At 33.6% G+C, this 15,342-nt stretch overlaps 1 protein-coding gene across 4 annotated transcripts in view; it reads left to right on the top strand.

Annotated features, from left to right (window-relative positions):
- Positions 1–15,342, top strand: part of RANBP9 (RAN binding protein 9) — a 90,338-nt gene that overhangs the window by 43,654 nt on the left and 31,342 nt on the right. For all 4 annotated transcript variants that reach the window (XM_011514205.3, NM_005493.3, XM_047418032.1 and 1 more), the window contains exons 3-4: positions 9,350–9,402; positions 10,906–11,073. In XM_011514205.3, coding sequence (XP_011512507.1) covers positions 9,350–9,402; positions 10,906–11,073 — 221 coding nt within the window. The remainder of the gene's footprint in view (positions 1–9,349; positions 9,403–10,905; positions 11,074–15,342) is intronic.

The following is a 15,342-nucleotide window of genomic DNA, read 5'->3' as shown; positions in this document are numbered from 1 at the left end:
AATTCATTGTTCATAGTATTTAATAATTGTTTTCTTATGATCCTTTTTAGTTTAGTAGTAATACTCTTGTAATTCCTGATGTTTAGTAATTTGAGTCTTCTTTTATTTTTCTTGCTTAGTAGAACCTACTTTTGAATTTGTTGATTCTATTGTTTTTCTAGTCTCTCCTCTTATTTCTCCCCTAATCTTTATAATTCCTTTTCTGCTACCTGCTTTGGGTTTAGTTCATTCTTAATGGTAGAAATTGGATTACTAATTAGAGATCTTTCTTTTTTATTTAATTTTAATTTTTGACAACAGTAACAAAAAATGTGTTGCGTAAGAATGGGGATACGTTCTGAAGAATGTGTGGTTAGGTGATTTTGTCATTGTAGGAATATCATAGAATGTACTTACACAAACCTAAATGGTATAGACCATACCACATGGCTTATTAAACACCTAGGCCATGTTGTGTGGTCTATTGCTCTGCTCCTAGGCTACAAAACTGAATAGCTTGTTATTGTGTTACAATAGGGAATTGTAACACAATGGTTTTGTGTATCTAAATACATCACATAGGAAAGATACAGTAAAAATGTGTGGTATAAAAGATTTAAAATGGCACACTTGTATAGAACAGCTCCATTATAATCTTATAGGACTATTGTTGTACATGCGGTCTGTTGTTGACCGAAACATTTGTTATGTGGAACATCACTGTAAATAGGTTTTTAAAAGTGTTTCTTGCATTGCCAGCATGTGATACATATACTAACTTAATCAAGAATGTAATAGATCAAAGATGCATTAAAATCTTAATAAGGTAGTCATTAATATACTGCCAAAAGGTATAGCAGAAAACTAATAATGGCCATAAAACAAAAATAAGAATTAAAAAGAACACAGAAAAAGATGGAGAGAACAGATGGACAGATAGCAAGATAGTAGGCTTAAGCCTATCAATAATAGGAATTAAACTAGAATGCTGTTAGTCTCCATTGTATGTTAGGCACAAACATTACTTACATAACTGTTAATAAATGCATAATTTGTGATGATCTACGTTGACATATTGATCTGAAAAATCTTCATGTTCATTGCTCTTGGTAAACACATAGTACCACAATAATAAATTTCTTGTTCACATAAATTTTGCCTGTCCCTCACTGTTGGATTGAGTTTGTTTTTATATGTCAGATAGCCTTTATATATCTACCAGCTATTCAGTTTACTGTGTGTCATGAGCCACACCCAGCCACAACTGGTATTACAAATTTCCCTTTGTCAGATAACCCTCCTTTCATCACTTCACAGTAACTCACAAGTGGTAACTCTTATGACACCCATTTCCCAGGCATAAACTTAGGTGTTTTTCAAGGTAAAATACTCACTTTCTTGTAGTATTTATTCCATAACAATTTTTTGTTGTTGTTGTTGTTTTGAGACAAGGCCTCTGTCACCCAGACTGGAGTGCAGTAGTACCATCATGTCTTACTGCAGCCTCGACCTCTCAGGCTCAAGTGATCCTCCCGAGTAGCTGGGACTACAGGCAATGCACCACCCTGCCAATCTTTTTTTTTTTTTTTTTTTTTTTTTTTTGGAGAGACGGGGTCCCAGGCTGGTCTTGAACTCCTGGACTCAAGCGCTTCTCTCACCATGGCCTCCCAGTTTTGTTTTCCTTTGGGATTACAGGCATGAGCCACTGTGCCTGGCCTATTCCTTAATAATTTAATTGGTGTAAAATTGTTTTTATTGGGTTCTTATCTTTTCAAAAATGTGTTACTGACATTTTTGCATGCTGTGCTTCCAATCCCATTTCCTTCGTAAACCTTGTAGCTTTTATTGCATGATTTTGTATAATGTGGTTTTTTTGAAACTCGTATGTCATGATATAGCGGACCTGACTATAATTATTTTATAAGGTATCTCTTTATTCCTCTTTTCATCAGTTGATCCGTCTTAGTCTTTGATACATTTCAGTGTAGGTATACTTCCCTCCTAATCACTACAGCATGTATATATCATTAACTAGAGTTTGATGTCAGCTTACTTCTCTTTTTGTGTGTGTGTGTGTGGTACAGTTTACATTTGGTGAAATGCACACATCTTAAGTGTACTCTTTGATAAGTTTTGCAGATGTGTATGCCCATGAAATACAAACCTCTATCAAAGTATAGAACATCATCATTCTCAGAAATGTTCCCTCATGCTCCTTCCTAGTTAGGCCCTTGAGCCACCCTTTCAGAGGCAGCCACTGTTTTGACTTGTTTACTACCTTAGATTGATTTTTCTTGTTGCAAAATTTCATATAAAAGGAATTATATGACATATGCTCTTCTTGTATGTAAAGCTTCCTTGAGTCAGCATGACATTTTGAGATTGATCCATTTGTGTTTATCAGTAATTGTATTTTTGTTTTTGTTGCTGAGTAGAATATACCACAATTTGTATATCTGTTCGCTTGTTGATGGATAGCCAGGCTGTTTCAAGTTTTTCACTGTTGTGAAGAAATCTGCCATGAACCTATTTGTACAAATTTTTTTGGTAGACACATCTTCATTTTTCTTATGAGTGGTATTGCTGGGTCGTAGGGTAGGCAGGTGTTCAGTCCTATGAGCAACTGCCAGCCTTTGTTTCAGAGGTTTTATTGTTTTAAATTCCCACCAAAAACATATGAAAGTTCCTGTTGTGCCATATGCTTGGCAACACTGATCTTGTTGGTTTTATAAATTTTAATTATTCTGGCAGGTATGCAGTTGTATCTCAGTGTGGTTTTAATTTGCATTTTCCTGATGACTGACAATTTGGAGCACTTTTTCATGTACTCCTTGGCTGTTTGCAGTATCTTATTTTGTGAAATATCTATTCAGACCTTTTGTTCATTTTTGAAAATTGGATCATCTATGTCTTTTGTTAAGTTTTAAATTTTGCTAAAGTTTTATTTATGAGTTTACTCTTTTATGGGTCTTCCTTTTTGTGTCCTAATAAATCTTTGCTTTATCCTCAAGTCATTAAGATAGTTTTACATGTTTTCTTATAGAACCTTTATAGTTTTTAACATTTATATTTAGGACTGTGATTCATCTTCATTTGATTTTTGTGTATTGTGTGAGATAGAGATTAAGGCTTACTTTTTTCCACATGGATGTCAGTTATCTTTTTACTATTTGTTCAAAAGACTTTCCATCCTCTTTTGGACTGTCTAGGCACTTTTGTAAAATATTAAATGACTATAAATGTGGGTCTCTTTGTTAGACTCCTTAATCTGTTGCATTGATCTATTTGTTGATCCTTAAGCCAGTACCATACTGTTTAGATTACTCAGCCCATGCTATGTTTTGAAGTCAGATTGTGTAACTTCTACAGCTTTCCAAGCTTTTTTGGGATGTTTTAGATCCTTCACATTTCCATATACATTTTACTTATTTAATTTAAATTTTTTATAGCTGCATAATAGGTGTCCATGTTTTGGGGGTACAGTGATAATACATTCATATAATTGTAAAGATCAAATCAGTGTATTGGGGGTATCTGTTACCTTAAATATTTGTCTTTATGCTGGAAACATTTGAATTACTCTCTTCTAGCTATTTTGAAATGTGCAATAGAATATTGTGAACTATAGTCATCTTACTGATCTAACACTAGGTCTTATTTCTTCTATTAAGCTGTGTATGTACATTCATTAATCAGCTTCTATATACACTTTAGAATCAGCTTTTCAGATTAAAAAAAAAGAAAAGCCTATTGTGGTTATGCTTTGGATTGTGTTGACTCTGTGATCAGTTTGAAGAGAATTGCAGTTGAGGTGCCCAATTCGTAGACATGATATGTTTTGCCATTTATTTACGTCTTTTAAGATTTCCCAAAGTGATGTTTGGTAATTTTTAGTAGAGAGGGCTGCATGGCTTTTGTTCGATGTTTTATGTTTTCTGATGCTGTTGTAGATAGAATTGGTTTTTTAAATTTTGTTTTTCTAGTATTTGCTGCCAAATACAGTGGACTTTGTATATTAACTTTGTATCCTGCAACCTTCCTAAATTCACTTATTGCAGTTATTTTGTAGATTCCTTAGGATTTTCTTTATAAACAGTCATATCATCTGTACATAGAGCCAGCTTTATTTCTTTTTGATTTTTATGCATTTTATTTCTCTTTTTTGCCTTGTTGAAATGGCTAGGATTTGTAGTATGGTGTTGAATACGAGTGGTGAGCACTGGCCTTCTTGCTTTTTTGTTGGTCCTTGGAGAATAGTGTTCAGTATTTCACTATTAAGCATGTAAGTTGTAGAGTTTTTGTAGGTACAGGTTGAGGAAGTTCCCTTGTTAGTTTGCCAAGTGTATTTATTTTGAATGGTGTTAAATTGTATCAGGTGTTTTCACTGCAGCTATTTCATGATAGGAATTTTCCCCTAGTATAGAAAAATACATTGATTGGTTTTGAATGTTAAACCAATCTTTTGTTCTTGGGTTAAACACTATCTAGTAATCATATGTTATCGTTTTGATACATTATTAGAATTTCTTTTTATTTACTGACCTTTATGTCTCTGCTATTTTTAGCCATTCTAGATTTTGTGTATCTTTTTTCATAACCTGTTGAGAATTAATATTGAACCATTTTATGTAAAATATAGAAACTTGCATTTCTACATTTATCACTTCCTCCTGTCCTTGCTGTAATTGTCATATGTATTACATCTATGGTATGTTATAAACTACACAATACATGTTACCATTTTTGCTTTAAAGAGTCGTGTTTTAGGAAAATTAAGAGCATTTTTTTAAGTGTAGGTTTGCTAGCAACACATTATGTTTTTCTTTTATCTGAAAATGTGTTTGTTTCACTTTTATTCTTAAGAATATTTCTCTTGAAAATAACATTTTGTGTTGGCAGGCTTTTGGGTTTTTTTTCTTTTTAGCACTTTTAAAGATTTCATTCCACTGTCTTCTGGCCTTATATTTTCTAATAAGTCAGTGGAAATTCAACTCAGTGTTCCTGTGAAAGTAATATGTCGTTTTTCTCTAGCTGTTTTCTGCACTTTTTTTCTTTTTTGTTAGTTTTCAGCAGTTCAGCTGTGATTTGTGCCTAGGTGTGGTTTTCTTTTTATTTAATTAATGTTTGCTGAGCTTCTTGAATCTATACGTTTTTGTCTTTTACCAAATTTGGGGAATTATTTTCAATTTCTTTTCTGTCCTATTCTCTTTTTCCTTGGGATTGGTTATATGTATTTTGATACTGTTCCAAGGACTCTTTCCCCCCATACCCCTACCTTTTTTTCTCTGTCCTTCAGATAAGGTCTGTTTTCATGTTACTATTTGTTTTGCCATCTTCAGTCTGCCATTAAGTACATCAGTAAAGATTTATTTCATACAGTTTTCAGCTCCAGAATTTCTGTTTGGTTCTTGTTTTTGTTTGGGCTGCAGTAACAAAACACCTTAGGCCGGGTAATTTATTGTATAAACAGCATACATTTATTGCTCACAGTTCTGGAGGCTTGAAAGCCCAAGTTTAAAAGGTTCCAGCAGATTCAGTTTCTGGTGAGAACTCTCTGCTTCATAGAAAACACCTATGTGTCCTTACATGGCAGAAGGGGCAAACAAGCCTTCTCACGCCTCTTTTATTAGGGCAAAAATCCCATTCCTGAGGGTGGAGCCTTCATGACCTCCCAGAGGCCCCATCTCATAATACCACCATATTAGGGACCGGGTTTCAACATAAGAATTTTGGGGGACACACGCATTCAGACCATAGTAGTCCCTTTTTATTGATTCTTTTTCTTTTCTGGAATTTCTTTTCATTCAAAGCAAGAGTATTTCTCCCTACATCTTGTGCATTGTAACAGTACCTGGTTTAAATTTTTTTGTCTGCTAATTCTCACATCTGGATTGTCTCAGGGCCATTCCCTGTTTGTGCTTTCTTTTGAGCATGGATATTTTTTGTTCCTTTGTATGTCGGGTAATTGTGTTCTAGCACATTATGTATGGATGATAGATTTTAAAACTCTGAATAGTATTTTTTAAATTGATAATGACTTTTAGTGATATATTTTGTCATTTTCTGTGCTGATTGTTTCCTTGTCCATGCTTTTCTTCTATTTTCACTTGTCTCCCTGCTGCTAAAGTATGTCGTCAGATAGTTCTTTTGTGACAGTCTGTGTATAGTAAACCATTAGCTTTTATGTGTCTTAAAATATCTTATTTTTTCCCTCATTCTTGCTGCATTACCTGGGACCTAAGTTCTAGGTAGACAGTTACTTTACTTTCAATACTTTGAACATATTGTGCCATTGTTTTTCGTCATCAGTTGTTGCTGGGGAGAAGTCTGAAGTCAGTCTAATTGCCATTTCTTGCTAGGTAATCTGCTTTTCTTTCTGGTAGCTTTTAAGATTATGCCCGTGATTGATATTCTACAGTGTGTCTTATGTGTGACTTAATTTTTATCTTCCTCAGTATGTAGTGTGTATTTTCAGTTCAACAACATGTTTTTCAATTCTGGAAAATTACTATCTAAATTATCTCAGCAAATATTGGTACACCACTGTCCTTATATCTTAGTGATTATGTTTTTTTCTTTTAGTATATTCCTAAATATACTTATTTTTATGTTTTTTTAAAATCATACTATCCATTGGGTGATATCATCTAGAATGAATTCATGTTCCAGCCATTTATTTTATTGGTCTTTCTCTTTTTTTCTCATTTTTTTTCCCACATGCCTGTTGTGTCACATTTGTTGATATTATATTTTAGAATTTTGTCCTTGCAGCCTTATTTTGATTGGGAAGTTTAACATTTTTCTTCATTTTGCCCATCTGTCTTTTTCTATGCTTATTTTCTTTCTTACAGTTTTTACTTGATTTTCAATTCATTCCTCCCAATCCAAAACTAGGTTTGTATTAGAGTTTCCGGGTTCTTGCTTCAGCATGATATTGAGAGTATTGCAGGTTCTGTCATGGATCCATTCAATAACTAACTGGTTTAGATCCTGGTTAAGAGGTTTCTCCTCTCTCTTTCCCCTTAACTACACCACAATGTCAAATAAGCTCTAGCTTAGGCAACAGGGGATATCAGTATATTCTTAGCTTCCTTTCAAGAGGAGAAGGCTATTCCAGCCTTTGGCTTTAAGCAGTAAGCATAGCTAATACTCCTCTTATGGAACATTTTTAGTCCTTGTTTACCCAGAGGAGGGGGAACTTTGAGCCACTATTGAGTGCTCATAGACTCAGAGCTTTGCAGGTCCACAGCTTATATCCCCATTCACAGCCTTGTGTTTCTTCTCATCTTCTTGTGACTTAGCCTTTCTAAATAAAAAGTAATACTTAACATTTTATATTGTACTTCTAGCAAAGGGGCTGAATCAAAATACAAACTTAATGAGCCTTCTTGACTAGACATCTATGTGTTGTTTCTTAATGTTTTGTCACTCTTGTCTCACTTGGCATATGCTCATAGTAGTAATATTGCTCTTGTGAATCTGAGTTTTAATTTCTAGTAGGGAAAACTCTGAGTTTTCTTTTTTAAAATTTTGTCTTGATCAAAATTATATATTTTTACATATGAACTTTGAAATAATTTTGCTCAGTTTTAAAACTTCTGTTGGAATATGTCTTGAAATGTATAAATGTGTGTCTACATCATTTTAGAAAGGTTGTCCTCCTTTTTTTGTTTTTGCCCTCCAGCCTGAGTGACAAGAGTCCTGGTCTATCACTCAGGGTGGAGTGCAGTGGTGTGATCATTCATGTCTCACTGCAGCCTCAACCTCCTGGGGTCAAGCAGTCCTCCCACCTCAGTCCCCCACATAGCTAGGACCACAGGTGTGCACCACCGCACACAACTGATGGTTTTGTTTTTTTTTGAGACAAGGTTTCCCAATGTTGCCCAGGCTGGTCTTGAATTCTTGGGCTCAAAAGATCCTCCTGCTTCAGTCTCTGAAAGTGCTGGGATTCCAGGTGTGAGCCTCTGTGCCTATCTGAAAGATTGCCATTTTTATGCTCTCCAGTTATCCAGAAGTTAACTATATCCATTTATATACAGCTTTTAATATGTAATTTTGAGCCTTCCTTGAGAACCTTATTCCTGTTTTATGTTTTCTGTAGTTATTGTGGCTGTCCAGCTGGCTATACTAGAAGAAATATTAAAATGTTCCTCTTACATGTAGTCACTTTGCCAGAATGCCTAAATAATTATAAAAGGTTTTGGTAGATTCTGTGGTTTTCTATGTATATAATCATACCAACTACAAATAAAGGTACTTTTATATCTTTTAACATTTATGCTAGTCATTTAGTTTTCTTATTTTATTAAGCTTTCTAAAGCCCCTAAAACAGTATTTAACAATTATAGGCATCTCTTTGTTCTTGATTTTAGTGGAAATGCCTTCAGTGTGTTTTACTGTTGAATATCTTGCTTGCTGTATTTGGGGGAAAAGTCTCATAGTTAAATAATTTCCTTTTATTCTTATTTTATTGGAGTTCTTATTAGGAATGGTGGCCGAATTTTATCAAATGCCATTTAAAACCTTGATAACAATAATGGGCAATTAGCCTTTTAACAAACTGGATTCAGTTTGCTTTTTATTTTGTTTTTCCTTTTGTGTTAATACTTACAAGTGTATTGTGTTATGTTTTCTTCCTTTGAACTATATTTATCAGGTTTTGTTGTTAATGTTTTATAAGCACTTGAAAAATAATTGAATACCTTAATAATCTTCCCTTGTGTATTGTGTGGAGACTGTTTTGTTCTAACTTTATAAATTGATAATAAAGAACCCTCTGTTTAGGTAGATTTTGTCAGTTTGCTCAGTTTTAGAAAGCTAGTATAGAAAATACATACCTTGGGGTAATTTTATTAAGATATTTTTATGTGAGTTTGAAATTTTTTCCAAATATGAATCCATATTTCCGTGTGTGTGTGTGTGTGTGTGTGTGTGTGTGTGTGTGTATGTGTGTGTGTGTGGGGTCTAAATTTGTACTGTGTCCCTTGGGAAACACATTTGTTTCCTTAACATTTTTTTTCCTTCTGCAATCCCTCTGTGCTTTTTTTGTGAGAAATCTTAATCCCAAACATTTATCTGTAAATAAGTTGGCGAGATTTTTTATAGGTGTCAGTAGAGTGCATAGCTGTATATTAATGCTTTGTGTGTATTTATGAATTATTACCATATGAGTTTGCTGTGAAGTCTGAGTATTACTGGTACTTAATATTGCCCGTTGTTGTTACATAATAAATTGTAATAAAATTTTTGTTGCTACCTTAGGAGTTCCAACTTGGGCTTGGTTCTGATATTGTTTGAGACTGTTTGGTAATTTATACATATATGACTGTAATAATGTCCTTTTCTTCTCTCCCCCAACCTCCGCCAACAGTTACATGGGAATTGGTCTTTCTGCTCAAGGTGTGAACATGAATAGACTACCAGGTACACTTGTAATTGAATTACAGTATTATGTCTTATGAGTAGCTCTTTCTGGTTAAATTTTTCAAGTAAGAAATTGTAATATTTAAAGATACTGATTTTCTGTGTTTTTAATCATCATTATGAATTTTAAGTGAAAGCTGAGTGGGGTTTTTTTGTTTTGTTTTGTTTTTGAGACAGAGTCTCACTGTGTCACCCAGGTTGGAGGGCAGTGGCGCAGTTTTGGCCCACTGCAACCTCTGCCTCCTGGGATCAAGCGGTTTTCCTGCCCTCAGCCTCCCAAGTAGCTGGGATCACAGGCATGCGCCACCAGGCCCGGCTAATTTTTGTATTTTTAGTAGAGATGGGGTTTTGCCATTTTGGCCAGGCTGGTCTCGAGCCCCTGACCTCAGGTGATCCACCTGCCTCGGCCTCCCAAACTGTTAGGATTACAGGCGTGAGCCACCATGCCCAGCCTGCTGAGCGGTTTTTAATAAATTTAAATTTCACACTATTTAGTAAAACATATAGTATATATATCATGCTTTTTTTTGTATTTTTATATTTTTAAGTTTTAGTACATAGTAATATCAGCTACTTTAAATATTTTAATGTGGCTAGTTATATTGGCTACCCATCACATTTTTGACTTTTAACCCATCTTAATATTCAGGGAATATCGACTAATACTTAAAGTAAACTAAGGAAGAGATGAATTGAGATCCAGACCTGTTTCCCAGTACCACTTATGAGAAGGAAGTGATTCTTGGATTATGTCTTCTAATACTCTCTTTGCTAAAATTAAAAATTAATTTTGGCGAGACTTTTTGAAGTACAAGGCAAAACTGTCAATGTCAAACTACATGAAGTACCTTAAAGAAACAAACCAAGACAATGTAGTTGCATCTGATTGTAATCACATATGTTACCTTGACATGCTTTGTTTTGTACCCTTTTGCTTAAAATTATACTTGAAAGAGGGTTTAATTGAGGTTTTTATTATTTGAAAACTCCTTATAGAAGTAACTGATAAGGTAAAAATCTCTTAATGATGATATAAACATATCTGTAGTGTGGTAAGACCACACCCTGTTTGGCTTTTATATTTGGATCACAGTCTTGAGAAACTTGCAGTGATTGAATAGGATGTAATCTCTTATGTTATATAAAACGTGTATGTGTTTCTTTAAATCAAAACAAAATTATTTTGGTGTATTAGCAAACGGAATATGCACAGAAAATGTGTCCTCCTGTGGTTGTTGCATTTATGTTTGTTTTTTCTGGTAGGGGGTTCTCTCTGTTTAATATTTGTTTTAGTGTTCTGTGTAGCTATTTTTCTTAAATTTGTAAACTGTATTTTAATATAGAATAAATTATGTAGTGTAATTGTTGAGAATTTAAATGTACATTGGGAATTTCATCTTTATATTATCTTGTACTGTTCTGATTTATCATAATCTTAGTGAATAAACCTAGTACAGAGGAACCTTACTTTTCATTGTAAATATGCCGGAACTTTCTCCTTAGGTTGGGATAAGCATTCATATGGTTACCATGGGGATGATGGACATTCGTTTTGTTCTTCTGGAACTGGACAACCTTATGGACCAACTTTCACTACTGGTGATGTCATTGGCTGTTGTGTTAATCTTATCAACAATACCTGCTTTTACACCAAGAATGGACATAGTTTAGGTACTGAGATAATATATTGCATGCAAAATAACCAAATATGGAGATTATTATACTTCCAGGATGGTAGTTGTATTTATTATGTGATTCTCCTTTATAGATGGATGCCTCTGGAAATGGTTTCTTTCTTTTTCCCAGACAGAAGCTGAGGAAATGGTGAATATTTATATTCACCCTATTTATATTCTGTGAAGGCCATCTATATAATACATATATGTATAGGAGTTACTGTAGAAATAATCCCCACACTGAGATACTTATTCTAGAAATAGAAATGCCAAGAGTTTTCTACTTTAAATAAAACGCTACACAGTATAATCTAATTCTCTGGGTAACAGGTGCTAAGAAAAAGGGGCAGTCAGTTGTTAGGATAGTGTGGGGAATAGTAACAAAGGAAGGGAAAGCTTGATGCCACAAGCATATGAAGGGCATCAACACACTCAAAGGTCAGATCTGCTAACAAAGATGGCTAAGTTGGTAACTACAAGTTTGTTCTATGGAAGGAAGCAGAATTAAACAAGCAAACAGTGACAAAACTGAGAATAAAAAACTTCTGAAAATAAAATAGGTTATGGAAAACTTGAAACCCATACATTGTAAGACTAATAGTAAGTTAAGATTTTCAGTGGACTATTCATGTACTCATAGCACTTCAAATTTAAAGTTATATGTGGTCATTATATTCCATTTTCTTAGAAGTTTTTTTTTTTAAACTATAGAAAATATAAAGGATAATAACACTGATGCTTTTTGTTTTATAAAAAAAGATTTCACCTTTTACTGCTGGAAAAATCTTTGACTCAAAGCAAATTATTTTTAATGAGGTAAAATGAAAGGAAGCATAAACTGAGTAACCCTAGAAGGCAGAAACTATTTACAAATAGTATTTAGAAATTAGACTTAAAGTAGTATGCTTAGACATATAATAGATGTTCTTTAACACAAAAGCTGTTTTTTCTGTTATTTCATAGTATAAAAGAAAATTCTGAATTTCTGGCTGCATTGGCAATACTCTTTTAAGAGTGTTTCAATAAAGTTAACTTTTTTCATATTCAGCTTAGCATTTCTATTTCTGATTACTGATTTTTAATTCTGAAGTCCTTCTGTATTATCTGACTTAAAAGTTTTTCTCAAGTCCACAAGAGATCCTTTTCTCACTAGTACAATAATGTTAAGGACCCCATGCAAATTATGTATATTTGTGTGTGGTTTCATTGTTGTGGCCACCTGGTTTCCAAGAACAATACAGGCCTCTTGAATTTATTTGTTGTTACTATTCTGACTGTTCATATAATCTTAGTTGGCTTGACTGCTTAAGATGTTGGAAGTTTTGAATCCGGAGAAATCTGCTTTTAGGTGTGACCTTTGGCTCAAAAACCAAAAAATACATTTTGAAAAAACCACAATCTCTTTAACATAAACTTTTTAAACTTTCCAGAGAAGAAATTTCATTTTGGGAGATAAGACAATCACAGGTGATAATGATTTTATTTTTTCCCTATTTTCACAAATATTTAAATTAAATTTTTCTCTTGGCTAAGAAAGCTATTTTTAAAATGTAAGATGTGTCTTTAAAAAGGTGCACCTAATAATGGAGTCACATTATAAATTTTTATTTTTTGTTTATTTTATTTATTTAATTTTTGAGACGGAATGTCCTTCTGTCGCCAAGGCAGGAGTACAGTGATGTGATCTCGGCTCAGAACCTCTGCCTCCTAGTTTCAAGCAATTCTCCTTCCCCAGCCTCCTGAATAGCTGGGATTATAGGCACGCCATCACCCCCAGCTAATTTTTGTATTTTTAGTAGAGATGGGGTTTCACCATGTTGTCTAGGCTGGTCTTGAACCTCTGACCTCAAGTGATACACCCGCCTCAGCCTTCCAAAGTGCTGGCATTACAGGCGTGAGCCACTGTGCCCAGCCTACATTTTAATTTTAAGTAAACCTGAATGTTTGGCATTATTCATTCTTAAATTTAATGAGTATTAAGCACATAGAGAGATGGTATAACAGTGGTTAGTAAGAGTTCTTTAGTCAGACTTGCCTGGGATTGACTCCCGGCCTATGCCAGGTAACCATATGTAAATTACTTAACATTTCTGTGCCTCAGTTTTCTTAGTTTGTCAAGTAGGATCACTGTAATACCTATCTCACTAAGGTGGTTAGACTAAACTGCAATAGTATGTGCACAGTTCTGGCATCTAGTGAATAACCATTAAATGTTATTTAGTATCATTGTTTGTCAGCCCCTGAGCTAGGTTCCTGGGATCCACTGGTAAACCATTGATGAGCAGAAATTACTTCTCTAGAACAGGAGTCTACAAGCTATGGCCAAGTTAGCCTCCTGTTTATTTTAAAATAAAATTTCATTAGCAACCAGCCACACCTACTTAAATATTGTTTATGGTTGCTTTCCTGTTACAGTGGCAGAGTTGGATATTTGTGATAAAGACCATATGGCCTGGAAAGCAGAACATATTAGTAGTCCTTCATAGGAAAGCTTTGCCTACCTCTGGTCTAGGTTCTGGCATCTTCCAAGATAAAATACTGTTAAATATTTAGTTACTATTCCCTTATACTTCCTAAGTGGATAATCTGTGCCCAAAACTTGATACATCTTTAGTTTCTGTCTCATGGAAGATTTTCAGAATGTATATTTGTTTACTATATAAGGAAAAATAGAAAGGTTTTATTTGAGAAAATAAGAGAAACTTTGCAGTATATAGGTTAATGTAATTTGATAATTTTTTACTTTGTTTTATTGAATATCGTTCACCAATTGAAGATCACTTTTCAAAAAGCCTGACAAATCAGGAAATTATGAATATAGAAAATTGCTTTCTGTGTAAAATTCAAATAGTTATGCCATCTTGTTAAAGTGGCATCTTTTCGTGGTCTGATTGAGCAAAAACATGTTGTGGTAACTATATTTGGCTGTGTTAAAAAATGTTAACCTTTGGAATTAATTTTGAATTTTTCGTTAGAGTTTTTGGTAAAGTGAAGATTTCAGTAATTACAGACAAAGGATTTTTGCTAAAGATAGAATATACAGTGTTGATTATAACTAGACATCTTTGAGAAAAATTATTTTATGAAAAATATTAGAAATATGTATAGTTTATAGTATATTAAAATATTCTCTTGCTTTCTGTATTCTTTTTACTTTTGTGAAATTTTTGGGAAAGTTTTTTATTTGGGCTGATAGTACTTGCTTTCTGTGTTATTAATGAAGTTAAATGTAATGATAATGTTTTACGTGGGGAAAACAGGAACCCTAACTTTGCTTTCCTTTTAACAAGCCACCATGAATTTACTAGTTTTTAAAAATCATAAAAACAGGGCTTTACTAACTACAAAAGCATTAATTTTACACATTATTTTAAAAGTATAAAATTTATTTTCAGTTTGTCTTTTAACTTTATTAATAAATAGAGTTAGATGTTTTCTGTTATTACAGCACAGTCATAGAGGAATAAAATGTCAAGTAGGAAGAGACCTTAAAAACAATTTAATGGAAATTCCCTCAGTTTTAAGATAGTGATCAAGACTGTAGAAGCAGTGGTGCTGGCTTGGTTTTAATGTTTGTTTTAGACTGGAAGAATTGAGATCAGCTGACTGACTCACCAATACTGCTCTCCCATTATTCTAGAGCTAAATCTTTAAAAATATATCTACAGAAATACTTTATTATTTTCAGCTAAGTTGTATATTGGAATATTTAAAGGAGGTCGTTAAATTGTCACGTTGAGTTGACAGTAGACTTATTCCAATGATATTGCCATTGCTCAAGTTGTATCTAGAACATGACTGTTGTAATTACTGTCAAAAGGTATTCAAGAGAAATTCTAAACTGTGCAAAATCGTTCATCCTTTGAAGGAGGAATTGATTTTTCCCACGAGTAAATCATAAGTTAAAGAATTTACTTTCATAAGAAACATTTTTTAAAGAAGCAAAAATATACTGTATTTTCCCTTGTTTGCCTTTTATAACAGAAAAACTCTTTTCTTTCCAGCTAAAATTATTTAAAAGCTAAATCTAGATGATGATTATTAAACGGTGAGGGTACAAATTGCAACTTGGGGTTAAAAAATAAACTGACTATTTTGCAACCAACTTTCTTAATGTGTTTTCTAATGTAGCTTTGAAGATATATCTAAAAGTATTTCAAAAATCCTGGAGACAATGGCAGCATCTCAGAAATAAAATTTGTGTATGACTAGCAAGGCTGATTATCTTGAAAGGGGACAGCGTTTGTTCACTCAGACATATGTT

The sequence above is a fragment of the Homo sapiens genome, chromosome 6 (genome assembly GCF_000001405.40).
Source record: "Homo sapiens chromosome 6, GRCh38.p14 Primary Assembly".
In the NCBI taxonomy this organism is placed as follows: Eukaryota; Metazoa; Chordata; class Mammalia; order Primates; family Hominidae; genus Homo; species Homo sapiens.
The sequence above is the reverse complement of the archived record's forward strand: the minus strand, read 5'-3'. Positions and strand labels throughout refer to the sequence as shown.